Source organism: Homo sapiens, chromosome 3 (assembly GCF_000001405.40).
Source record: "Homo sapiens chromosome 3, GRCh38.p14 Primary Assembly".
Taxonomy (NCBI): Eukaryota; Metazoa; Chordata; class Mammalia; order Primates; family Hominidae; genus Homo; species Homo sapiens.
In genome coordinates, this window is record NC_000003.12 from 187170572 (window position 1) to 187196751 (window position 26180).

The 26180-nt window shown below is 42.9% G+C and overlaps 10 annotated features.

Moving 5' to 3' along the window:
- Positions 272 to 773: an enhancer, noted in NCBI's record as "NANOG hESC enhancer chr3:186888631-186889132 (GRCh37/hg19 assembly coordinates)". NCBI's record gives its function as "activates a minimal SCP1, AML or CMV promoter by ChIP-STARR-seq in naive H9 embryonic stem cells {active_cell/tissue: H9 hESC(naive)}" and the evidence as "EXISTENCE:reporter gene assay evidence [ECO:0000049][PMID:30033119]".
- Positions 4492 to 5323: an enhancer, noted in NCBI's record as "OCT4-NANOG-H3K27ac-H3K4me1 hESC enhancer chr3:186892851-186893682 (GRCh37/hg19 assembly coordinates)". NCBI's record gives its function as "activates a minimal SCP1, AML or CMV promoter by ChIP-STARR-seq in naive and primed H9 embryonic stem cells {active_cell/tissue: H9 hESC(naive and primed)}" and the evidence as "EXISTENCE:reporter gene assay evidence [ECO:0000049][PMID:30033119]".
- Positions 5324 to 6154: an enhancer, noted in NCBI's record as "OCT4-NANOG-H3K27ac hESC enhancer chr3:186893683-186894513 (GRCh37/hg19 assembly coordinates)". NCBI's record gives its function as "activates a minimal SCP1, AML or CMV promoter by ChIP-STARR-seq in naive and primed H9 embryonic stem cells {active_cell/tissue: H9 hESC(naive and primed)}" and the evidence as "EXISTENCE:reporter gene assay evidence [ECO:0000049][PMID:30033119]".
- Positions 6366 to 7041: an enhancer, noted in NCBI's record as "H3K27ac hESC enhancer chr3:186894725-186895400 (GRCh37/hg19 assembly coordinates)". NCBI's record gives its function as "activates a minimal SCP1, AML or CMV promoter by ChIP-STARR-seq in primed H9 embryonic stem cells {active_cell/tissue: H9 hESC(primed)}" and the evidence as "EXISTENCE:reporter gene assay evidence [ECO:0000049][PMID:30033119]".
- Positions 9726 to 10227: an enhancer, noted in NCBI's record as "NANOG-H3K27ac hESC enhancer chr3:186898085-186898586 (GRCh37/hg19 assembly coordinates)". NCBI's record gives its function as "activates a minimal SCP1, AML or CMV promoter by ChIP-STARR-seq in naive H9 embryonic stem cells {active_cell/tissue: H9 hESC(naive)}" and the evidence as "EXISTENCE:reporter gene assay evidence [ECO:0000049][PMID:30033119]".
- Positions 10228 to 10727: an enhancer, noted in NCBI's record as "OCT4-NANOG-H3K27ac hESC enhancer chr3:186898587-186899086 (GRCh37/hg19 assembly coordinates)". NCBI's record gives its function as "activates a minimal SCP1, AML or CMV promoter by ChIP-STARR-seq in naive and primed H9 embryonic stem cells {active_cell/tissue: H9 hESC(naive and primed)}" and the evidence as "EXISTENCE:reporter gene assay evidence [ECO:0000049][PMID:30033119]".
- Positions 10728 to 11229: an enhancer, noted in NCBI's record as "OCT4-NANOG-H3K27ac hESC enhancer chr3:186899087-186899588 (GRCh37/hg19 assembly coordinates)". NCBI's record gives its function as "activates a minimal SCP1, AML or CMV promoter by ChIP-STARR-seq in naive H9 embryonic stem cells {active_cell/tissue: H9 hESC(naive)}" and the evidence as "EXISTENCE:reporter gene assay evidence [ECO:0000049][PMID:30033119]".
- Positions 12232 to 12731: an enhancer, noted in NCBI's record as "H3K27ac-H3K4me1 hESC enhancer chr3:186900591-186901090 (GRCh37/hg19 assembly coordinates)". NCBI's record gives its function as "activates a minimal SCP1, AML or CMV promoter by ChIP-STARR-seq in primed H9 embryonic stem cells {active_cell/tissue: H9 hESC(primed)}" and the evidence as "EXISTENCE:reporter gene assay evidence [ECO:0000049][PMID:30033119]".
- Positions 12732 to 13233: an enhancer, noted in NCBI's record as "H3K27ac-H3K4me1 hESC enhancer chr3:186901091-186901592 (GRCh37/hg19 assembly coordinates)". NCBI's record gives its function as "activates a minimal SCP1, AML or CMV promoter by ChIP-STARR-seq in naive and primed H9 embryonic stem cells {active_cell/tissue: H9 hESC(naive and primed)}" and the evidence as "EXISTENCE:reporter gene assay evidence [ECO:0000049][PMID:30033119]".
- Positions 14736 to 15735: an enhancer, noted in NCBI's record as "OCT4-NANOG-H3K27ac-H3K4me1 hESC enhancer chr3:186903095-186904094 (GRCh37/hg19 assembly coordinates)". NCBI's record gives its function as "activates a minimal SCP1, AML or CMV promoter by ChIP-STARR-seq in naive H9 embryonic stem cells {active_cell/tissue: H9 hESC(naive)}" and the evidence as "EXISTENCE:reporter gene assay evidence [ECO:0000049][PMID:30033119]".

Genomic DNA, 26180 nt, shown 5'->3' on the forward strand with positions numbered 1-26180 from the left:
GGCTGTTCTCGAACTTCTGACCTCGTGATACACCCACTTTGGCTTCTCAAAGTGCTGGGATTATAGGCGTGAGCCACCGCACCCAGCCAGATTTGGATTTTTTAATGTGACTATTTCAGTGCTAGTGTTGGACTGTTCCTGCAGCGTTATATTAGGAGACACGTGATGTCTGATTGCCTTTCTTTTCTTAATTGATCAGTAAGATCAGATGGTGTCAGCCTGACCCATCCACTATAAAGTTCCCCACAACATCTTAATTAATGAGTTTAGCAGATTTAGATTTTTTTCTTTATCATTATTTCATTAGGACTGCAAAATAGTGATATTCTGATCCTATTGTTCCCTTTTATTTTTTATTTATTTACTTTTTGAGATAGAGTCTTGCTCTGTCACCCAGGCTGGAGTTCAGTGGCGCAATCTCAGCTCACTGCAACCCCCACCACCTGGGTTCAAGTAATTCTCATGCCTCAGCTTCGCGAGTAGCTGGGATTACCAGTGTGCTCCACCAGGCCCAGCTGATTTTTTTGTATTTTTAGTAGAGATGGGGTTTCACCACATTGGACAGGCTGGTCTCAAACTCCTGACCTCAAGTGATCTCCCTACTTGGCCTCCCAAAGTGCTGAGATTACAGGTGTGAACCACTGCGCCTCGGCCCCTTTTCTTTTATTAATTGTAATTCTTCTCTAAAGAATAGCTTCCCCTCAACTATTATTTGGTTATCACAAAATGCAGATTACATAAGGAAGCCAAGATAAATATGTAATATTTTTCCCTTGCCTATTTTTGAAATAAATAGTTGGTTTTTTTTATTTAAAATATCATTATTAATTTATGGATTTTTAGCATATTTGATGTACTTCAATGAATTGTGGCCATTATTCTTTTTGATGATCCAATTATTTTGTTTTTGGCCAGTGAAAGCTTCTTCAGGTTAGTTTCATTTGCCTTTTGTCTTTTGACATGACAATAGGAATTTTTGAAATCTGGTACAAGAAAATATTCCAGGCTCATTTTATACATTTATTGACTTATATCTGAAGGAATTATTTTTCCAGAAAGTTCTGATCACTTTTGGTGATCCAGGTGCTGAGAGGTACTTGTTGCTAATGGATTGATGATTTATTTCTTTCAGGTCTGTGTAATAGACAAAGTTAGGAAGTTCATAATTTTTATGGGCAATACAATTTCATTATGATATAATACTTATATTTCCAATTCAAATTCAGATAATAGGAATTTTTATTTACCATCTTAGATTTTATGTATTTCCAATCTCTTTTTGATTACCATAAAAATCTTGGTTCCCAGTAACATTAATAGAAGCACTAATACAATGTGTTACTTACCCTATTAAAATAAAAATAATAACACTGTAATTACTCCCCATCCCCACACTTCAGCCTCCATGAGATATATGGAAACAGTCAAATTATTATGTTTTAAAGTCATTTGAAATAATTCACCATTGAGTAAGCCACAGATTTCATAATGTTAGGTTAATTTTTTCCCCAAGTTTTCAGAATTTTTAAAAATTCAATTTTTTTGTTTTATAATTATGTAAAAAATAACATGGACCCAAAACAACACAACACAACAAAGCACATTTAGAAATATCTGTGTTCTACCTGTGTCTCCTCTACCCTGTTCCCTCCTCCCCAGTGAACAATAATATTCCTTAGTTTTTAACTTATCTTTCCATTTATTTTTAATATAGTCAAATATGTATCTTTCATCCTTCGAGGAAAGGTAGCAATCTTTATATACAGTTCTGCCCCTTGGTTTTTTCTTTTCCTTTTTTTGTTTTTTAGTTGAGAGGCTATCCTGGATATCACTCCATAATGGTTTATAGAGATTATCCTCATTCTTTTGTTTAGCTCCATAGTTCTTTACTGGGTGGTGTTTCATATTTTATTCCTCTTGTATCTTACCATAGGTAAGGTATGCCGTACAGTTTAGGTTGTTTCCAATTCCGACTGCTACAAACAACATAGTACTGAATAGCGATTTGTGTATATCATTTTCTGTTTTTGTCAACATATGTTAGGCATAAATTTCTAGACATAGGATTGCTGGGTCAAAGGGAAATGCATGTATTATTTTGTTAGATATTTTTGACTGTTTTAAAAATAGAACATATTATTATGTTGTATGCATCTTTGAAAGCTACTTTAAACTTTTTTATAAAAAGAACATTGGGGCATAAATTACTTTTAATATTTATTATAATAATAATATGAAGCACTAAGTAACATACATTTATAATTATATAAATATCTATCTTTTATAGGCATAAGACTCTGTTATAAAAATTAATATTCATCAGGGATTATCCACAAATTTCCCTTTTCCCCCCACTCCACCAAAGTGAATGCAATTGCTGGATGGACCTTTCCCCACTCTTCCACATGCTTTTCTCATCCCTCACTCCCTACATTTGTCATTGCTAGACCAGTCTCTACAGACTTTTGTAAGAATGGATCAAGAAGGATTTTATGGCAGGGAGAATGACCCAGGGAGAAAGTTGGAGGGATAGGAGGTGAGAAAAGTGGAGGCGAGGGAGGCTGAAGGTGAACAACATGGTGGAGAGGGGGAGGCAGCAAACGAAAGGTGCTGGGGGACACAGAAGGGAAGAAGTAGAGGGGAAGAGACATAGGAATATGAGAAGTGTTGCTACAACTTGTGAGTCTGATCCACTCTCATCTTCTTTTGGAAAAGCAAGTTAATAAAATTCTTCTATAATTGCTTTTCTGGCTCTTATACTGTGTATCTTGAACATGACACCACATAGAGACTGATCTATATGGACTGTGACTTCCATAGGGCATCAAGTCTTCATAATGAAAACACCTGAGAGTTTACAGATAATACAATACTGAGATTTAAGTTGGCTGTTGGTGTGAAATAAGTTATGTATGAATTAATATAAATGCTGTAGCCTGTGTACTAACTGAAGCCCACCCATATCCCTATAATGTAGGTATGCCTCTTTCTAATTATAAGCAGACCTACAAGGCAAGACTGAGTCACACCAGATGTCCACTTACATCTTAATGCTTGAGTCCAAGTCTTCTGGCATAAAATTATATAGATCACAGGCAAAATATCTAAAAAAGAAGAAAAAAACCCATAGCAACAGAAAGTAAAATCTGATTGTTAGCAAAGCCAATGCATTAGCTAAACAGAATAGTCCGGGGCATCAAAATGTTAGCAAGCATGGCTGCCCTCTAAGGAGAAACTGAGGTCAGGTTGCCCCAGATCAAAGCCCGAGGAGAAGACAGATCCTGCCGTGCACAGAATTCATTCACTGGAAAGAAGCCTTCTGGGCCAAGTCCCTGATGGCGTTGAGAGCTGACTGGAAATGCATTCCCTGAGAGAAGGGTTTTGTAATCCTTGATTTAGTTTATTTCAGTCTGTGGAAAACCTTGTTGCTGAATTCAGGATTCTTTCTTCCAGAGAAGATTTGGGCTTGTGTTTGCAACAGCCTTGGACAGCTACAGACCTGCAATTCCTTTAATCCCTTTCCTTGTGTCAGGCATAATCCGGGAACCTGAGTTGATTCTGCTCTCCCTCTGCTCAAAGTCCAGCTCTGGATTGTTGTGTTGATATTAGCATTTGCCCTGAGGGCAGCTCCCTCTTTTCCTGCTCACTGCTGTGGTTTCACCTCAAGGTTTTAAGAGTAAATGTAAAATTTCCATATATTTATCTCCTTTATCCTCATAAGAACCCTGGGAGATAGCAATAATTACCTGCCTCCCTCCAGCAGCCAAAAGAGGGAATAAGGCGTTAGAGGATACCAACTCCTTGAAAGTTACAGGCCCAGTTAAGTGGTGGAGTCAGCTTTGTCTGCCTCACTCCAAAGTGAAAGTTTTTGTTTTTTTTTTTTGACAGAGTCTTGCTCTGTTGCCTTGGCTGGAGTGCAGTGGCGCGATCTTGGCTCACTGCAACCTCCACCTGCCGGGTTCAAGCCATTCTCCTGCCTCAGTTATGGCCTTCAAAAAGCCACTTTACTGTTTCTCCTCATTTCAGTCCAGACTCCGGGCTGCCAACCGTCTCTTTTTAAAACATGGGAATGTACCATCATTCTAACCATCCTTGATATTCCATCTCTACTTCCCACCGAAATGCGTAAAAGCACATTTTTTTTTTTTTTTAAGAGATGGAGTCTCGCTCTGTCACCCAGGCTGGAGTGCAGTGGCCTGATCTCGACTCACTGCAACCTCCACCTCCCGGGTTCTAGCAATTCTTCTGCCTCAGCCTCCCGAGTAGCTGGGATTACAGGTGCATGCCACCACGCCTGGCTAACTTTTTGTATTTTAGTAGAGACGGGGTTTCAGCATGTTGCCCAGGCTGGTCTCGAACTCCTGAGCTTAGGCAATCCACCTGCCTTGGCCTCCCAAAGTGCTAGGATTACAGGCATGAGCTACCACACCAGGCCGTAAAAACACATTTTGCCACAGCATTGAGAATTAAAGATGGCAACAGACCACTTGCCAATGTCTGGAAAAATTCTCACTAAGTGAGACATGGAGGAGCTTCGAATGACAAACTTTCGGGCGATAACACTCACTTTGACCTGTGAAACAAAATGGCAAGGCTGGTCATGACGATGTCAAATAGCAGATTTGACACTCCCCTCCCCCTATTCCTCTCTCTAGGCCATGCCATCCCCGGTTTCTAACTCGCCACAACCACTGAACAAAGCAGTTGTCTGGGGTGGGAGGAAAACAGCAGTAGGGTCTGTCAGTTTCCTCCCAGCATGAGATGTAAAAACAGCCTAGGCATGGCTGAGTGTGGTGGCTCACGCCTGTAATCCCAGCACTTTGGGAGGCCGAGGTGGGTGGATCACCTGAGGTCAGGAGTTCGAAACCAGCCTGACCAACATGGTGAAACCCTGTCTCTACTAAGAATACAAAAATCAGCTGAACATAGTTTTCACGCGCATCTGTGTGAAGAGACCACCAAACAGGCTTTGTATGAGCAACATGGCTGTTTATTTCACCTGGGTGCAGGCGGGCTGAGTCTGAAAAGAGAGTCAGCGAAGCGAGATAAGGGTGGGGCCGTTTTATAGGATTTGGGTAGGTAAAGGAAAATTACAGTCAAAGGGGGCTTGTTCTCTGGCGGGCAGGAGTGGGGGTCGCAAGGTGCTCAGTGGGGGGTGCTTTTTGAGCCAGGATGAGCCAGGAAAAGGACTTTCACAAGGTAATGTCATCACTTAAGGCAAGGACCGACCATTTACACTTCTTTTGTGGTGGAATGTCATCAGTTAAGGTGGGGCAGGGCATATTCACTTCTTTTGTGATTCTTCAGTTACTTCAGGCCATCTGGGCATATAAGTGCAAGTCACAGGGGATGCGATGGCTTGGCTTGGGCTCAGAGGCCTGACTGACATTCCTGCCTTCTTATATGAATAAGAAAAATAAAACAAAATAGTGTTGAAGTGTTGGGGCGGCGAAAATTTTTGGGGGGTGATATGGAGAGAGAATGGGCGATGTTTGTCAGGGCTGCTTCAAGCGGGATTAGGGGTGGCGTGGGAACCTAGAGTGGGAGAGATTAAGCTGAAGGGAGGTCTTGTGGTAAGGGGTGATATTGTGGGGATGTTAGAAGAAACATTTGTCGTATAGAATGATTGGTGATGGCCTGAATATGGTTTTGGATTAATTGAGAAACTAAATGGAATAACAGAAGGAGAAAAACAGGTATAAAAGGTCTAAGAATTGGGACGACTCAGGATATCTGATTAGAGAGTGCCTAAGGAGATTCAGCATAGTCCTGCCAGCAAAGATTATTTATTTACTTCAAGAGTTAAGAGTGGCAGTTTGGGGATACCACCAGGAGATATCAGCTGTGATGGCTTGGAAAAACAGTGTAAACCGGCAGTGTAAACAAGAGCAGGGCATGTATGAGTAGTTGAGAATGGTGAATAGGAGTATGACTAGACAGAAGATAGTAGGGATGACAAGTTTTTTTGGGGGCACAGTCTAAGTTGGTCTGGTGTCTGGAATGAGACTGGGGCCTAATAAAAAGGAGCGTCTATACAGGAGCTCAAATGGGCTGTACCTTGTAGCATTCTGACGACAGGTCTGACTTCTGAGAAGGGAAAGTGGTAAAAGTATTGTCCAGTCCTTTTCAAGTTGGTGGCTGAGCATGGTGAGGTGTGTTTTTAAAAGACCTTTAGTCCATTCTACTTTTCTTGAAGACGGAGGACCGTAAGGGATATAAAGGTTTCACTGAATACTAAGAGCCTGAAAAACTGCTTGGCTGATTTGACTAATAAAGGCTTGTCTGTTATCAGACTGTATTGAGGTGGGAAGGCTAAACTGAGGAATTATGTCTGACAGAAGGGAAGAAATGACCGTGGTGGCCTTCTCAGACCCTGTAGGAAAGGAATCTACCTATCCAGTGAAACTGTCTGCCTAGACTAAGAGGTATTTTAGTTATCTGACTCAGGGCATGTTGAGTAAAGCTAATTTGCCAGTCCTGGGTGGGGCAAATCCTTGAGCTTGATGTGTAGGGAAGGCAGGGGGCCTGAATAATCCCTGAGGAGTAGTAGAATAGCAGATGGAACACTGAGAAGTTATTTCCTTGAGGATAGATTTCCACGATGGAAAGGAAATGAGAGGTTCTAAGAGGCGGGCTAGTGGCTTGTACTATAGCATAACCTGCCTTTGCCGGTTTGTGGCGATTAGGCCTGGTGGAACTGCCATCAATAAATCAAGCATGATCAGGGTGAGGAACAGGAAAGAAGGAAATTTGGGGAAATGGGGTGAATGTCAGGTGGATCAGAGAGATACAGTCATGGGGGTCAGGTGTGGTATCAGGAATAATGTGGGAGGCCGGATTGAAGTCTGGACCAGGAACAACGGTAATTGTGGGAGACTCAACAAAGAGTGAGTACAGCTGAAGGAGCCGGGGAGCAGAAAGTATATGCGTCAGTATGAGGAAGAAAATAGATTTTGGAAGTTATGAGAACTGTAGAGAGTGAGTTGAGCATAGTTTGTGATTTTTAGGGCCTCTAAAAGTATTAAAGCAGCGGCAGCCGCTGCACGCAGACATGAGGGCTAGGCTAAAACAGTAAGGTCAAGTTGTTTGGACAGAAAGCCTACAGGGTATGGTCCTGGCTCTTGTGTAAGAATTCTGACCACGCTAACCATGCCTAGGAAGGAAAGGAGTTGTTGTTTTGTAGAAGGTGCTGGGGTTTGAGAGATTAGTCGGACACGATTGGCAGGGAGAGCACGTGTGTTTTTATGAGAATTATGCCGAGATAGGTAACAGATGAGGAAGAAATTTGGGCTTGATTGAAGTAATGGGGGCTGTCTGTGAGCTTTGCGGCAGTACAGCCTAGGTAATTTGCTGAGCTTGATGGGTGTCAGGGTCAGTCCAAGTGAAAGCGAAGAGAGGCTGGGATTAAGGGTGCAAAGGAATAGTAAAGAAAGCATGTTTGAGATCCAGAACAGAATAATGGGTTGTAGAGGCAGGTATTGAGGATAGGAGAGTATACGGGTTTGGCACCACGGGGTGGCTAGGCAAAACAATTTGGTTGATAAGGCGCAGATCCTGAACTAACTTGTAAGGCTTGTCTGGTTTTAGGACAGGTAAAATGGGGGAATTGTAAGGAGAGTTTATAGGCTTTAAAAGGCCATGCTGTAGCAGGTGAGTGATAACAGGCTTTAATCTTTTTAAAGCGTGCTGCGGGATGGGATATTGGCATTGAGGGGGGTAAGGGTGATTAGGTTTTAATGAGATGGTAAGGGGTGCATGATCGGTCACCAAGGAGGGAGTAGAGGTATCTTATACTTGTGGGTTAAGGTGGGGGGATACAAGAGGAGGACACAAAGGAGGCTTTGGATTGTGAAGAAGGGTGGCAATGAGATATAGCTGTAGTCCAGGAATAGTCAGGGAAGCAGATAATTTAGTTAAAGTGTCTCAGCCTAATAAGGGAACTGGGCAGGTGGGGATAACTAAAAAGGAGTGCTTAAAAGAGTACTGTCTAAGTTGGCACCAGAGTTGGGGAATTTTAAGAGGTTTAGAAGCCTGGCCGTCAATACCCACAACAGTTATGGAGGCAAGGGAAACAGGCCCTTGAAAAGAAGGTAATGTGGAGTGGGTTGCCTCCATATTGATTAAGAAGGGGACGGGCTCACCTTCCACTGTGAGAGTTACCCGAAGCTCGGCGTCTGTGATGGTCTAGGGGGCTTCCGAGGCGATCGGGCAGTGTCAGTCTTCAGCCGCTAAGCCGAGAAGATCTGGGAAGGAGTCAGAGAGCCTTGGGCCAGAGTTCCAGGGGCTCTGGGAGTGGCTGCCAGGTGAGTTGAACAGTCCGATTTTCAGTGGGGTCCCACACAGATGGGACGCGGCTTAGGAGGAATCCCGGGCTGCGGGCATTCCTTGGCCCAGTGGCCAGATTTCCAGCACGTGTAGCAAGCTCCTGTGGGAGGAGGTTCTGGAGGAACACCTGGCTGCTGCGGTTCAGGCGTTTGGAAGTTCTTGTGTGCTGGAGATGTGGCTGGGGTTTGTCTCACAGTGGAGGCAAGGAATTGCAACTTTTTTCTATTATTGTACACCTTGAAGGCCAGGTTAATTAAATCCTGTTGTGGGGTTTGAGGGCCGGAATTTAATTTTTGGAGTTTTATTTAATGTCGGGAGCAGATTGGGTAATAAAATGTATTTTGAGAATAAGACGGCCTTTTGACTTTTTAGGGTCTAGGGCTGTAAAGCATCTCAGGGTTGCTGCCAAACAAGTCATGAACTGGGCTGGATTTTTATATTTGATGAAAAAGAGCCTAAACGCTATCTGATTTGGGATAAAGAAAAAGGAGCATTAACCTTGACTATGCCTTTGGCTCCAGCCACCGTTTTAAGAGTAAATTGCTGGGCAGGTGGGGGAGGGCTAGTCATGGAACGAAACTAAGCCTGACCAGGTGTGAGAAGGGGAGGCAATAAAAGGATTATAGGGTGGAGGAGCGGAGGCTGAGGAAGAATTGGGACCTAGCTCGGCCTGTCGAGGAGGGGAGAGGTCAGATGGGTCTGTAGAAAAGGAAGATTAGAAAGACTCAGCGACGCTTGGGGTTGGGACTGAGGGTACAGGTGGGAGGGAAAGAAGGAAGATTTGGGACGAGTTGCACTGGGCACAGAGACTAGGAAGGGACTGATGTGTAAAAGAATGCCTGGACGTCAGGCACCTCAGACCGTTGGCCTATGTTACGACAAGAATTATTTAGATCTTGCAGGATGGAAAAATTCAAAGTGCCATTTTCTGGCTATTTGGAACTACTGTGGAGTTTGTATTGGGGTCAAGCGGCATTGCAGAAGAAAATAAGGCATTTAGGTTTTAGGTCAGGTGTGATTTGAAGAGGTTTTAAGTTTTTGAGAACACAGGCCAAGGGAGTAGAAGGAGGAATGGAGGGTGGAAGGTTGCCTATAGTGAAGGAAGCAAGCCTAGAGAAAAGAGAGAGTAGAGAAATGGAGGGAAGGGGTTCGGGGGTTCTTACCTTCCAGAAAAGTGGGAAAAGTGGTTGGGGCGCAGAGATAAAAGGTCGGGGTGTGGAAATAGGGGATGGGGCACAGAAATAAGAGGTCGGGGCACGGAAATAAGGGATTGGGGCACACAGATACGAGGTTGGGGTGCAGAAATAAGGGATTGGGAGTTCTTGCCCCCTAGAAAGGCGGGACTTGCTGCTAATGGTGAAGGAGAAGGGGTTGAGGGGTACTTGCCCCTGCCCCAGGAAAGCAGAGAAGGGGTGGAGACAAGGAGAGAAGGGGTTGGGGTATTTGCCCCTTCCCCAGAAAAGCGGGACTTGCCGCTAAGGGCGAAGGACCAAGGCAGGCGTCCCTGCATGGTCTGACACCTTTGAAACGTGGATGAGTAATCAGAGAGGTGTCCCTGCAGTGATTAAACACCAAGGGAAGGCTGCCTTCCCAGTCCGTGACCGGCGCCGGAGTTTTGGGTCCACAGATAAAACGTGTCTCCTTTGTCTCTCCCAGAAAATGAAAGGAATTGAAATTAAGAGAAGGGAGAGATTGAAGAGTGGAAAGAAGAAAGTGGTTGAGGGACAGTGAGAGAGGTTGGAGAAGAGAGTAAGAAGAGGCCATTTACCTGATTTAAAATTGGTGAGATGTTCCTTGGGCTGGTCCGTCTGAGGACCTGAGGTCGTAGGTGGATCTTTCTCATGGAGCAAAGAACAGGAGGACAGGGGATTGATCTCCCAAGGGAGGTCCCCCGATCTGAGTCACGGCACCAAATTTCATGCGCGTCCATGTGAAGAGACCACCAAACAGGCTTTGTGTGAGCAACATGGCTGTTTATTTCACCTGGGTGCAGGCGGGCTGAGTCTGAAAAGAGAGTCAGCGAAGGGAGATAAGGGTGGGGCCGTTTTACAGAATTTGGGTAGGTAAAGGAAAATTACAGTCAAAGGGGGCTAGTTCTCTGGTGGGCAGGAGTGGGGGTCGCAAGGTGCTCAGTGGGGGTGCTTTTTGAGCCAGGATGAGCCAGGAAAAGGACTTTCACAAGGTAATGTCATCACTTAAGGCAAGGACCGGCCATTTACACTTCTTTTGTGGTGGAATGTCATCAGTTAAGGTGGGGCAGGGCATATTCACTTCTTTTGTGATTCTTCAGTTACTTCAGGCCATCTGGGCGTATAAGTGCAAGTCACAGGGGATGTGATGGCTTGGCTTGGGCTCAGAGGCCTGACGATGTTGGCGCATGCCTGTAGTCCCAGCTACTCAGGAGGCTGAGGCAGGAGAAATGCTTGAACCCGGGAGGTGGAGGTTGCAGAGAGCTGAGATTGCACCATTGCACTCCATCCTGGGTGACAGAATGAGATTCCATCTGAAACAAAACAAAACAAAACAAAAAGAAAACAGCCTAGGCAGAGAGTTAAAGCCTGGTGGCGGAGTGGTCAGGGAGCTGGGTTCTTGAGACAGCGCTGCTCAGCTCAATATCAACTGCAGATAATGTAGTTAGGGCTATAATGGTTGGTCTACACTGAATATGTACAGACCTTTTGTCATTCTCTAAACAATACAGTATGACACAATGTACCTAGCATTTACACTGCGTTAGGTATTATGAGTAATCTAGAGATGATTTAAAGTGTACAGGAGGATGCGTGTGGGTGATATGCAAGTACTATGCCATTTTATGTCAAGGACTTGAGCATTCTCAATTTTGGTATCCATTGAGGATCCTGGAACCAACCCCCTCCATGGATACTGAGTGACGACTGTACGCTGAAGTCTGTGCAGGCCTCCAAGCTGCAAATCATTGTGAAGAAATAAGTCCTGATTCCTTTAAATAAATATCCCTTAAAGACCTGGAGTAAAGCCTAGAATGAGTAGGATAGAGTGGAAGAGAAGCCCAAGAGGCCTTGCCCTGGAGGTGCTTCCATGTGTTCATACCTGGAAGGCAGCTGGAAGCTGCAGGTATGGAGGCATTCCCTGTGAGGACTAACCTATGATTTGTTTATCTTGCCCGAATTCCTGTCTAAGGGGTCTGGAGAGTCATGCCCTACAAATCATAAATTCTCATCAGATGGGTTTTATTGAACCCTATATATCATGATTTGCTTTCCAACCTGACTCTGGCATAACATTATGAGACAAGAAAATCAAAATATTTTACCCCAAGACACGTTTCTTTGCCATATTTTGAAATAGCCATGCAAAGCTGTTCTTTGTGGGGAAAAATTTGCATCTGTAAAGAATCTCTACTAACATAGCTAGATCTTTTTCTTCCAGACCCTCCCAATCCTAAACAGATTAACTAAAATCTGAATTGGAAACATTTGTCACCTGTTGTCTCTAAGGGCAGCCACTATAAGACTTTAAAAGAACTTTGGTCTCCACAATCTGTATCTTAACCTGAACATTCTCTTTCTATGAATCCCAGGTCTTTAGACAAACTCAACCAATTGTTATCTAGAAAATGTTTAAATTCACCTATGGCCTGGAATCACCTGCTTTGAATTCTTCTGCCTTTCTGCACCAAACCAATGTATTTCTTAAATGTATTTGATTGATGTCTTATGCATCTCTAAAATGTGTAAAACCAAGCTGCGCCCTGCCTACCTTGGGCACATGTTGTCATGTTCTCAGGACCTCCTGAGGGCTGTGTCATGGGCCATGGTCATTCATATTTGGCTCAGAATAAATCTCTTCAAATATTTCACAGAGTTTGACTCTTTTCGTCGACACCTGGAAACCTCTCTACTTTCCCCCATGACTTTAGTATCCTGTGTGTAATGGACGTTAGTCACAGAGCCATTTTCTGAGGCTTGTGTTTTGAGATGAGGGCTGGGAAAGCTCTAAAGATCATAATAGCTGCGGCCTTTAAATATCTGAAGTGTGCCATGAAGTTGTGGAAAGGATACTATGTAGTCAATGTGAGTCCAAAAAGCAAACATAAAGTCACTATGGATGCAACAGGAAAACATGTGGCTTGCCCGTTTTTATTTTAAACTCTCAAGAAAGAGTTTAACAAAAGACAGTGCTTTGTCAAAATCCAGCAGGTTATGAAGTAGTGAGTAAGTGTAGTTGGAGGTATTCAAGCAGAGGTTTGAAATGCAGACAAGGTCAAAGAGGATTCTTTCATTGGGATCAGCAGTTGACCTAGATGATCTTCAAAGCTCATTCTAGCTCAGAAATAATACAATAATGACTAACATTTATTCAACATTTACTATGTTAGTTAAATACAATTCTGAGACAGCCAAATGCCTAGGCGGATAAAAAGTGATCCCCAGGGAATCTCTGACCCGTCCCACAAGTGTTTGCAGCAGATGCTTTTGTGCAGATGAGGGAACCTGCCCAGGGCTTGTGTGGGCATGCCCACAGCCGACTGGAGCCCAACACGCACACTGAGGAAGTGGGTGGATTATGGCAAATTTGCAACTTAAGCAAAGGAGGAGCCTGCTCTCTTCAGTTCCTTTGTGTGGCCTGGGATTAAATCTGTGAGGTCAGGGGTCTGTTAGCAGGACTCCATCTCACTTTGCTGAGTTTTCTTTCTTTTCTTCCTTTTCACCCAATAAAACCCTGTTCTACTCACCCTTCAATGTGTCTGCGTGCCTAAATTTTTCTAGTCATGTGACAAGAACCCAGGTTTTAGCTGAACTAAGCGAAATTCTGCAACATTTTTATGAATAATAAATACTATTCTAAGAACTGTTAACATATGCCACCATTTGACTCTCACAAATTCGTAAGATGGATACCATTATTTTGTTCATTTTAAAGATAGGATATTGAGACCCAGGGAAATCAAGTCACTTGGTCAATTGTCACACAGCCAGTAAGTGGTGAAGCCAGGATTTGAATGCAGACAGGCTGATGGCAGAATTTATAATCTTCATCTCTTGTAAGATCAGAGTGTCTGAACCTGAGGTATTATCGCACAACAGTGTGACACTAAGACAATCATTAGAAACAGCCCAGTAACAACAGTGATGGACTCTTATGTGTTAGCAAATTCCGCATCCTGTTAGTGAGTTACTTAGCTCAGTAATCTGACATTTGAAATGTCTACAAATACTATTACCCAAGGGACATATCACTGCCTGTTGCCTCAGAGAATAAGATAATCATGCCCTTGACAGATAGTCTCTAAGCAGTGGTTACTCAGCACGAGTAAATTTGCAGATGCGTTTCTTTGCTTCTTTTTTTTTTTTTTTGAGATGGAGTCTCACTCTTTCGCCCAGGCTGGAGTGCAGTGGCGCTATCTGGGCTCACTGCAAGCTCCGCCTCCCGGGTTCACGCCATTCTCCTGCCTCAGCCTCCCGAGTAGCTGGGACTACAGGGGCCTGCCACCGCGCCCGGCTAATTTTTTGTAATTTTAGTAGAGACGGGGTTTCACCATGTTAGCCAGGATGGTCTCGATCTCCTGACCTCGTGATCCGCCCGCCTCGGCCTCCCAAAGTGCTGGGATTACAGGCGTGAGCCACGGTGCCCGGCCTCTTTGCTTCTTTTGTGATGTTAGAGGGGCATTATGAATGCATGATCCAATCTGATCACAGGATGCCTGAGGGCAGGAAGTGTAGCTGTGTTTCTTTAAGTGCAACATATTCCTCCTCTTCCTCTACAAGTCACCCTGGGTTCACAAACAAGTACGCTAAGCCCATGTAGTTCTGGCAGACACAGCACCTGATCTTAAGGAGCTTGTGAACTATTAGAACTGTTGTCACCTCACAACTCACTCATAACGAAAATACATGGGAAATGTAACAGAAGTACCGGAAAGAGTTTTTAGTGGTCAGAGAAGAGACAGCATATTTCCCAGTGGGAACAGTCAGGGGAATCTTTTCCCAGTGCAGGCAGGATTTAATTCATTCATTCAACTCCAACTTTCTTTGGTGCTCTACTTGATGCTGGGGTTCATCAGCGAGTAAGCCAGGTGTGGAGCCTCTGAGAGCTAACCGTTTTGTTGGAGAAGACAAATAATCCTGCCATCACAATGCGCAGTGATTAAGAGAGTGGGCGCTGCCACCAGGCTGCCCAGTTCAAATCTCTCCTTTAATCCTTTGCTGGCCAAGCAACCCAGGGCAAGTAATTGAATTATTTCAAGGCTTATTTGAGTCACCCATGAAAGGTGGATGTCAGGCCTCTGAGCCCAGGCCACGCCATCGCATCCCCTGTGACTTGCACGTATACATCCAGATGGCCTGAAGTAACTGAAGATCCACAAAAGAAGTAAAAACAGCCTTAACTGATGACATTCCACCATTGTGATTTGTTCCTGCCCCACCCTAACTGATCAATGTACTTTGTAATCTCCCCCACCCTTAAGAAGGTACTTTGTAGTCTCCCCCACCCTTAAGAAGGTTCTTTGTAATTCTCCCCACCCTTGAGAATGTACTTTGTGAGATCCACCCCTGCCCACCAGAGAGCAACCCCCTTTGACTGTAATTTTCCATTACCTTCCCAAATCCTATCAAACGGCCCCACCCCTATCTCCCTTCGCTGACTCTCTTTTCGGACTCAGCCCGCCTGCACCCAGGTGAAATAAACAGCCATGTTGCTCACACAAAGCCTGTTTGGTGGTCTCTTCACACGGACGCGCATGAAAGTGGAAAAACAAGAGCCTATCATAGGGTTGATATCAGAAGAAAATGTAAATCTTTAGCAGGGTACCTGCTTGGCATATAGTAAGTGCTCATTAAGTGCTAGCAATCCTTATAAATGCTGTGGTATGGAAAATGTGGGCTGCTAAAGAGAGTATAGAAACTTGCCTCCTCCTCAGCCCAAGTATAGGAGAGAATAGGAGAGAAGAACACCAGGCTGGATAAAAGAATGCGCCATGAAGAGGGGAATGAGACATTTTAGGTAGAAGAAAGAGCAAGAACAAAGAAATGGAGGTGGGATTATGCAGCCTTTTGTGGGAAAGGAAAAGCATCCGCTATGTCTGTTGAGAAACGCTCAGGTGGTAGGAGCTGTGCTTTGCAAGTTAAATGAGACCAGATCATGGGTTGGAACTTGAGTGCCTCGCTGAGCAGTTCACCCAGTGGGGCAGCCCTACAGTGTGAGAGCAGGGCTTGATTTCCATGGTTACATGCTTTTTTTTTTTCTTTTTTGTGTAGGTCCTGCTGAGTTTACTTGGAATCAGGAAATATTGGAGGACATATAGATTCGGGTAAAGGTATAGCCAAGAACTGTCTAGATCAGGGAGTGGTTATAACTTTGGACATTACAAAACTGGAGGAGGCTTGTAGATAGCCATCATTTCATATTTATTCTGAAAATATTTAATAAGGAAAATTTATGAGCACAGCAATACTCCTTCATGGGGAAAATAGAAAGTAGCTCCTTATATATGTTTCTGAGTATCTAAGAGGTTTGGGAGAGGGTCATTTTGCCTTTACCAAAGCTATAGGTGTTTCATGTAATTGTGACCCACAAATTGCTAGAGCAGGAAGGAAACTTTGAGATCAGGTAATATGGTTCTACTGATTTTAAGTACACAGAAATGTAGAAGCAGAGAGGCCACGTTCTTTGGTCACATGGCAAGTCTCAGCAGTGACAGAATGCAGACCTGTCATTTCTCCCTTTCTTGTTCTTTCCACACAGGTCTTGCTAATACTATCTCTCTCCTATAGTTTCTGAGAGTTATCAATGTAGAATGTATTAACTGAGTTTCATATTTACGCCTGAGACAGACCTGCATAGATATACAGGGGTATAGGTCACCATTTTATCACACCAGATGTCAGCTGCTTTCAGAAGCATGGGTCCAAGATGCCTGAAATACCAGTCAGTCAAACAACGGCAAGAAGTTAAAATAGTAAAGGTAGTGCTAAACCAAAAAGGCTACGGATGCCAAAGCCCTTAGACTAGCCAGCCTTGTTAGCTGCCATGTAAGGCAACACCAGGGTCAGTATGACTCATGAGTTTATTCTGGTGCAGACTTGGCCGGTTCTGGGCTGGAGTGTTTATTTGAGGGCCTTCTGAATCTGTTCCCCATGGGTTTACAGATAAGGAGCTTTAGGCCCCTTGGCCTCCTACTTGGTATGAAAGTCATCTCTCTTCCTGAGCAGGGCTTGGCTCCTGGAAGCTGAGAGAGGTGCACCTCCTGGAGCTGCTGCCTCAGACAGCCTGCAATAAGACTGACCTCACACCTGCCCTGCTGGCCAGCCTCTCGGTCCTGGGACATTGCCCATTCTAGCCTCAGGGCTCACCTTTCCTACTTCTCTTTCAGGCTGTGTCTGGCACTAACCATCCTGCCACCCCTAACCACAAGGTGAGGCGTAGCCTATACCCAGCTCAAGGGAAGGGCCTCCCTCCAGGATATGTAGATCAGGGCTCTTTCTTACTGGAACTTCTCTCTGTGATTCATACAGGAGTTAATCTAGGTCAAGAATTGTGTCCCAGGGAAGTAAATATCTGCTCTGGGACACCAAAGAGAGAATCTGCAGTTTGAGGATTCTTGGTTCCTTAGTGGCTAACAAGTGAGGACTCCCTTAGCCCTCTTCTCCTGAATGAGGTCTACAAAGGAATTAACTTAGATCCTTGAGAGACCAACATTGGCTTTCAAGAGAAAGTGAGAACAGTTTTTGATAAAGTAATGGACTTCACAACTGATGTGACTAGTAGTGAAGGATGCACCTGGTTGTTTCACTGCCTTTTGTCCTGTTTGCCTGATGTACATGACTTTCCAATTTCATTCACCCATGTCAAATTATCACAACCCCCAAATTCCGTGGAAACTTATAAATTAACCTCCAAAGCAAAGCCAATCAAAAGTTGAGGCCTTAGAAAAATGACAATTCTTTTGACCTGAGAAGCCAGGCTTCTAGATAATAGACCTATGTATTGTGCTAATTACCTACTCTTATGTGTTCCCTGAGTATTTCAAATATAGACATTCATTGGTAAGTATATGTGAGGCTGTAAGAGGAACATTTTTGAACTGTTTTACATATGTAAGTTTATTATTACAATGATAGGAACAGTATGGAAAAATTCAGACCCCAGAAGATTAAACTAGAAGTCCACAGCTACAAGGAGCAAGGACATGAGTTCACTGTTTTGAAAGCAAAAATTTAGGAGAGAACAATGATGGTTAATTTCATGTGTCACTTTGACAGGTCCATGGGGTGCAGATATTTGGTTAAACATTATTTCTGGTGTGTCTCTGTGAAGTGTTTCCAAATGAGATTAGCATTTGAATCTGTAGACTGAGGAAAGTAGATTGCCCTCCTCAGTGTAGGTGGGGCATCATCCAATCTGTTGAGGGATAGAATAGAACAAAATGGCAGAGGAAGGAAGAATTCACTCTTTTGCCTGATTACCTGAACTGGGACATCTCTTGAACTGTAACCTACACCATTGGTCCTCTGGGTTCTCAAGCTTTTTGACTTGAACTGTAGCTACACCACCAGCTTTCCTAGGTCTTCAGCTCACAGAGGGGAGATCATGGGCTTTTCAGTCCTTATAATTATGTGAGCCAATCCCTTATACTCTCTCTCTCTCTCTCTCTCTCTCTCTCTCTTTTTCCTATTGGTTCTGTTTCTCTGGAGAATTCTGACTAATGCAGTAAGCAAAAGAAAAATGCTTATTTATTTACTTTCTATTATGGAAAGTTTCAATATACAAAAATACATAGAATAGTATAATAAATGTCCATGTATCTACTACTCACCCTCAACGTTACCAACTCATGGTCAATCATATTTCATCTACACCCCTACCCATATTATTTGAAGGAAATCTCAGATATTGGGTTAAAGAAAATGTTTTAGAAGACATATAACTGATGGTTACTGAAGCTGGGTGATGGGCACATGGAGTTTCATTGTCTGTTTTGCTTTTCTATGTGCTTGAAAGTTTCCATAATATTCAGATTAACAAATAGAGATTGTTTTGCCATTATGGAAAATTATGTCAGAGAGTAGAATAAATAGTGCTCTGTCTTTCTCCTAAAGTTGCATTTCAGCTCATTACAAGGTATTCTTTAAAAAAGCTTTCATGTTTAAAGACTAAAACAAGCCAGTGGTGTTCTGCCAATGCAGAATTTCACAACTTATAAACATAGGCTTTAATAGTGGTAACAATAAAACCACAACACCCCTTTCACTTCCCAAAAGTAGTCAATATTAACTGCCTGCTTACTGTGGGCTGGCACGTTGTTAAGTGCTTTCTATTGCAAGGCACAGAGAGTCAAGGTTTTGAAAGTGAGATGGTGGCACTCAGTAAAGAAGAGCTTCTTAATAGCCAGGGGTTAGAGAGTGCTGCTATCACTGGATAACGAGCTCCACATCACTGGAAATGTTCACATTCAGGCTAGGTAACTGCTTGGCTCTCAATAGGCATTGGTTATTACTTCAATTTCAGAGGCAACCCTAATCCCAGATCACTGGGTCTGTCTAAAGATAGACAGTGAAGTCTCCTCATTCTATATGAAGAACCATCTTCTCACTAAATTAAAATCTGATTATTTTATACCTATTTATGTCTTCATATGAAATGTCTCAGAGTCACTGGCACATCTGATTAGGATTAGACTAGATAATTTCCAAGATCCCTTTTACTCCATAATTCTGTTCTATACATCTTTGTATTTTCAGGTCATATGGTAGAGACTCAGCCAAAGTGACTGAATGCAAATGTGATTCAGGTTTATTCTGTGGCCACTGTGAAATACACATCTGCTGTCCAGAGCGGTTTCCTCTCATTTGCAAAAGAGAGGACCAAGTTTTCTTGTTTTATTGCTTTTCTTGGAAAGATCATGCTCAGAAGGAGGGCAAGTGTGCATCAGAATGGATTTTTTTCTACTCCTTCCTCCACTTTCTTTCTTTCTTTTTACCCTAGTGAGTAGAGGTCTTTGATATAATAGAATAAAGGGACATAAACTTTGTTAGCATAGTAAGAAATGACAGCTATGCAATGGAATGTGGTCAGTATTAGTGGGAGAAAGGTTATTAGCTTATAGATACTCTACACCGAAGGTTGAAGCAAGGTCCTGAAGAGAAAGTAGAAGAGCAGAAGAGATCAAAGAGAAGACCTAGAAAGGAGACCAGAAAAAATAAGGGGAAGTTCTGGACATGCATTCTAGGTGGACTCTCAGTGGACCTATTGGAGATTTGATGGAAGAGTAAAGGAAAGTTGTGTCCTGTCTTCTGAACTCCATGAGTATGCCATTCAACCACAGTAAGACGGTCTGATAATGTACAGTGACTTCATTTCCTACTAGACCTTCCATGAAATGTTATTAGGGTTGAACGGTTGCATATCTTTCCAAAACTGCTTCAGGAAGAATCTCTTGGGGGTACAGTCTGAAGATACGTTCCCATAATAGTGGCTGCTTGGCAACAGGAACATGCTTAAGGGTCAGTCTTCATGTCCTAAGCCAAAGGCTCTGGGTTAGTGTGGGTCACCTGGCTATTGATGTTCACTGGACATGAAATGAGTGAGACTAATTTATCTCTATATCCCATGTGTCCAGTATAGAGCCTGGCACATGGTAGTTGATAATTCAGAGTGTTTTAAAAAACAAATAAATGAATAACATTGTTGCTTCCCCACATGTAATGTTGCCTTGCCCCTTCTTCAGAATAAGGGGAAGGAAGCTGTCTTTTATTTTAGATCAAATATCCTGAAAATAGGGAAATTAGTTTTTGAGGACTTGATAATTTCTCTCAAGTATGCCCTTCTTCACTTCCTGGACCATGGCACTGTTCCCTTGGTAATATCCATAGAACATTTTCTGATGAATGCTCTTCTCAAAGACAAGATCTTGCACTTGAAAAAAAAAAAAAAAGCAGAGAGACTGGGCAGTAGTGCATGCCTGTAGTCTTAGAACTTTGGGAGGCTGAGGTGGGAAGATCACGTGAGCCCAGGAGTTTGAGACCAGCCGAGGCAACACAGTGAGACCCTACCTCTACAAAAAAAAAAAAAAAAAAAAAAAAAAAAAAAAAAAATTAAAAAATCAGCTGATCATGATGGTGCATGCCTGTAGTTCCAGTTATTTGGGAGGCTGATGTGGGTGGATCACTTGAGCCCAGGAGATCGAGGCTGCAGTGAACCATGATTGAACCACTGCACTCCAGTCTGAGTGACAGAGTGAGACCCTGTCTCAAAAAACAAACATAGAAAAAACAAAACACATAGACTGGGCACAGTGATGTGTGCCTATAATTCCAGCTACTCAGGAGGCTGAAAAGGAGGATTGCTTGAGCCTGAGAGCTCAAGAGTAACTTGGGCAACATAGACAGAACCCATCTCTGAAAAAAAAAAACACAGAGTTTTATGGGGATAAAACTTCAAGAGAATGAAGACTGGGGGACTTTGGATTTTGGGCTGTATATCTCTGAAGGGCCCTCGCTGATGGTAGGCACATATGCCTCACAAAATTGAGCAAGAGCTTGGAAAAGAAGTTCAATGGTTGCTGTTGGGGTGGAGGGGAAGCAAAGGAAGAGGTTCTTATAAATCATGACTGGGCATGCAGAGGTGGGTGGTACTGGCAGGCTGGGTACCTGTAATGCTTTCCTTTGCTTTGACCCAAAGGGAGCAGCCCTACTGTTCCTATCTGGCTATGTTTTGGGATTGGACTTGCTGGATTAGTTTACTCTTTGGCTACTTTGCCTTTTTGATCCTTAGTTTGCTTTTTTTTTTTTTTTTTTTTGCAAAATAATGTCAACCTCTACCTACATCATAGAATTGGACATCGTGTTCTCAAGGCACTAAGCTCTTTGAAGGATGAAGAAAAATAATCAGGTACTGTGGTAGAAAGTCTCCAAAGATGGCTGCCACCAATTCCTTCCCTTCCTATAGGCACAGGCAATTTCCCCATCAAGAGTTGAAGTTTATTTCCCATTCCCCTATATCGGGCTGGCCCTGTGATTGCTTTCATCAACAGAATATGACAGGAGTGATGTTATGGGACTTCTGACTCTAGCCTTAAGGAGGACTGGAAGCTTCCATTTATTCTTCCTAGAATGAATCTTCTTGGAAACAAACTACCATGTAGTGAAGAAGCCTGAGCAGCTAAAAGGAAAGACCCAAGTGGAGAAATACCATAATGGTGAATAAGGCATTATGAAAGTTCACAAATGGCAGAGGCATTGTGGAGAGGAAGGGAAGTCCATATTCACGGTAATTGTTTCTTCCAGTGAAAACAAAGGTCTATCCCTTCCTTGATGGAAATGGTCCAGTGTAATCAACTTGCCACCAGGTCGTTGGTTGTTTCCCATGGAATCATGGCCCAATCAATTGTTCAGTGTTGGTCTCTCTCTGTTTTTGGAATTTGGGCATTGTATTAGTCCATTCTTGCACTGCTAAAAAGAAATACCTGAGACTGGGTAATTTATTAATATAAAGAAAAGAGGTTTAATTGGCTCAGGGTTCCATAGGCTGTACAGGTAGCATAGCTGAGGAGGCCTTAGGAAACTTACAATCATGACGGAAGGTGAAGGAAAGCAGGCTTGTCTTACGTGGCTGAAGCAGGAGGAAGAGAGAGCGAAGGGGGAGGTGCTACACTCATTTAAACAACCAGATCTCATGAGAACTCACTCACTATCACCAGAAGAGCAAGGGGGAAATCCACCACTATAATCCAATCACCTCCCACCAGGACCCTCTTCCAACATTGGGGATTACAATTCAACATGAGATTTGGGTGGGGACACAAATCCAAACCATATCAGGCACTTAGCAGTGGATTTAGAGAATTCCTTATATACCATTGTGATATTCCATATAGCATTGCTTCTGACTGGCAACTCATTTCAAAGTAAAGGAAATCTGGCAATGAGCTCACACTCATGAAATTCATTAGTCTTAACTATATCACCCATAATCCTGAAGTAGTTGGCCTGATTGAACAATGTGGTGGTCTTTGGAAGACTCAGTTATAGAATCAGCTGGGGGACAGGACCTTGCAGGGCTAGGATAATGTTCTCCAGGATGTGGTACATGCTCAGAATTAGCAACCATGATGATATAGTGCTTAGTTCCAAGAATTAAAGGGTAGAATGGACTGGCTTTCTCAAAATTAGCCCTAATGGTAAACTAGTTTTTTTTCCCTTTTCTTTCTGTACCCATAACTTTGATCTCTGCTATTTTAGAAATCTTAGTACCCAAGGAAAAAAAATGTTGCCATTAGAGAAGAAAATTAAAAATTCCTTTAAAGTTGAGACTACTACATGGGCTCTTAATATCATTAAATCAACAGATGGAGGGGCTTACTGTTCTGGTCCAGCAATGTTGGGGCATTCTGGAAGGAAAGAGTCTTTGTTTTGGGACTGTGAGGCACATTTAGATCTTTGGTACAGGGTACCAGTAGAAACTTCCAGTCATGGGTCCAGCCCTAAAACACACCCCTCCTTCTTCTCAAATGCCATTTAGGGATAGAAAATTGTGCATAGTTGAGAATTTTTCATGAGTGCATCATTTCAAGAAAAAAAATTAGAGGCTTGTTTTTTCTTTTCATTGCTCTATTTTCTAGTTGGGAACTTAATTTAAAGCATTTTATCCACTTAAAACATGATCACAAACTTTAAGAAATTGACCAGGGTGAGGCCAACAGCTTTAGAGATGTCTGAATTGGCCTTCTCTAAATTGTAGATTCCATGGTGTTAGAGGTCATTTGATAGAGAGCAAGTTGCAATACCACAGTATTTTTTTCTGTCTTGATAGAAATTTTTATTAGAGAAAATACTCTGCTATCCAGAAGGATGCATTATATTGGCCTCTGCACAGCAAGCTTGGGTTCTAAATAAAACTTAATTTGTGCCAATGGGGATTGCATCAGCTGGTTACACACACACACACACTCACACACACACACACACACACCCCTCTGGTGATTCTTACTTTCTGTCTTCTGTCATCATAGTGTTTATTGTAGCAACACCTGCAAAATACTTCTAGAGGATTTGTTCTGGGTAGCACTGTTTGTTATAAGCTCCTCTCAGCTTCACGTATTTTCTGGGAAGGTCCACAGCCCCCATTCTCATTTTGGCCAGTAACTCCCACCTGAGGCAGTTCCCATCATATCTGTGAGGTTTGTTAAACGAGTTTACTTATTTAGGTGTTGGTTGCCTTAATTCAGAGGTAAGAATACTGACTTGAAGGACTGAAAGTTTAATGAAGGGTCCTGAAGAACTTAAGAGTTTTTCCCAATGCCGGCCAGGTGAGATGGCGCATGCCTGTGATCTTAGCACTTTGGGAGGTGGAGGCAGGAGGTTTGCTTGAGCCCAGGAGTTTGGGACCAGCCTGGGCAACACAGCAAGACCCCGTCTCTACATAAAAAATGGGTTTTCCAATGTTAATGTTCAGTGGCTTGATATATTTAATTTCTGTCCTTCTTGCTGTGTTCAGTACAAATCTAGTAGAGAAGCACCTCCCCAGAGATCGTCAACTATATAGCAGGCCCCAGGAAACAGAGCCTGGCTCCAGGCATTACCTGCCATGCCTCTTTAGAAGCTTCCCTCTTCCAACCAGTGGCCTCCATCCTACCTCCTGCCCTCCCAGGATTCAGTTTTCTAAGTATAAAGCTGTTTGAAACCATACATGACTGAAGTTAGAGGGGAGCTTACCTTTGTCATCTACCCTAATTCTTCATTGAACAGATGGACAAACTGAGGCCAAGGGAAATTAGTGGCTTGCCCAAGGTCACAATGTCAGCCAGGAGCAGAGCTGGGCTATGTGTCTCCTGACTCCCAGTTCAGTGCTCTCTCCATTGAGCCAAGATGCCTGGCATCAAATGATTGAGGCTTTACAGGGTTGCTGTGCCTAGAGATGACTTTCTGTACCATATTTTCTTTGGTAAGATTTCAAGCTAAATATCTCTCTCAGCTCTAAAATATTTATACCGAGTATCAGGGGTCTGTGGACACCATTGCTTCATTAAGTTTGGCAGTAGAGGCAGCATCCCCAGCAGTAGCAGGGAGCCTGGTGGGTCAAGTACAACTCACCCCTCTTCTGGGGAGATGTGGCCTCAGTGTGGGGGGGCCCCAGTGAACCATTTGCTGAAATGATATAAACTTCATTTGCAATTCTTGGGGTCTGTAACGGCCACGTGAGTGATGAAGAAACACACATTTAATTAGCAGATGTTATGTTCTAGATTCCACGCTGAGCATCACAATGGCTAAAGCTGGGGCTTTGTAGACAGTCATATAGGTTTAAGTCCCAGTTCAACTAGTTATTAGCTGTTAAATCTTGTGCAAGTTATCTAACCTCTAGACTTTAGCTCACATATCTGTAAAATGGAGCTGCTGCTGCTGTTACCTACCTGTCAAGTTTGTTATTGAATGAAATAAATTAATATTTATAAAGCACCAGAACAATGCTTTCTAAGCACTTACCAGGTAAGTGCTGTATAGTGATTGCTATATAGTAAGTGCTATATGGTGATTGCTGTTACTATGCAAATTAAAATTATATTCACATAAAACATTAACACGTATTTTTTACTAGGATGAAAAGATACAGATTATATACATTAGAATTGCTACCTATGAGTCTATATGGAAATTTTTTTTTTTTTGTAAAAGCAGCCAGGCACGGTGACTCATGCCTGTAATCCCAGCACTTGGGGATGCTAAGGTAGGCAGATCACCTGAGGTCAGGAGTTTGAGACCAGCCTGGCCAACATGGTGAAATCCCATCTCTACGGAAAATACAAAATCAGCCAGGTGTGGTGACGCATGCCTGTAATCCCTGTTACTTGGGAGGCTGAGGCAAGAGAATCACTTGAACTTGGGAGGTGGAGGTTGCAGTGAGTCGAGATTGTGCCATTGCACTCCAGCCTGGGCAACAGAGCGAGACTCTGTAACAACAACAACAACAACAACAACACCACAACCAGGCAAGCCATTCTAAAGCCCCTGCTTTTAATCACAGCAGATACTGTTTTGTTATTATCCCACTGAGAAGATGAATAAACTGAGGTTAAAATAGTGTAAATCAAGGCATCAAACATCCATGAAGCGGCAGGAGAAGCACTTGGAAGATGGTTTCTGGTATCAGATGGGTGATTTTAAGTCCCTCTTTTTCATCACTAAACTTCAAGATCTGCTGGCTGTCCAAAATTCATACTGTTTGAAGAGCCTGCTCAGATTCTGCTAGCCACACCAAGCTTTTGGAGAGAGTGGAGTCAAGAGACGTGTTTTCCAATTGTAGGAAGTGTTGTTTCTAATGCATGCGATGAGCTTCGTCAACAAGTTTATACAAATAGATGGGAAGAGTGTAATGTGAGAAACTGAAATAAAACCAAAATGCCCTAAAAGACAGGATTGGCTAAATAAATTATGCCTATCCATATAACAGAATATAGGTAGCCCATAATGTACTACTACGGAATATGACCTAGAAAAATATTCATGACGTATTATTTTTTGAAAATGTCACAATGTGGTATATAGAATGTATGTGGTGTACAGAATGTGTGTGTATATACACACACATACACTTGTACATGTACAGAAAAATGGTAAGCGGGATGTACATATCGTAATGTTAACAGTAGTCATCTCGGGTGGGGTTTTATGGAAGAGTCTTACTTCTCTTTTCTTTCATCTATATTTTGTATTTTTTCTAGAATAAACCCATATGATTTTTTAAAAGGAAAAATAATTTATTAAAAATAGCAGCAGAGGCATGTATAGTAAAGGCTGTTTTGCCTGTGGGTGGTGCTCCTCTTCTGCGCTTCTATAATCAGCTTGGAAATAATCTTGTCTGCTCCTGCCTGGCTG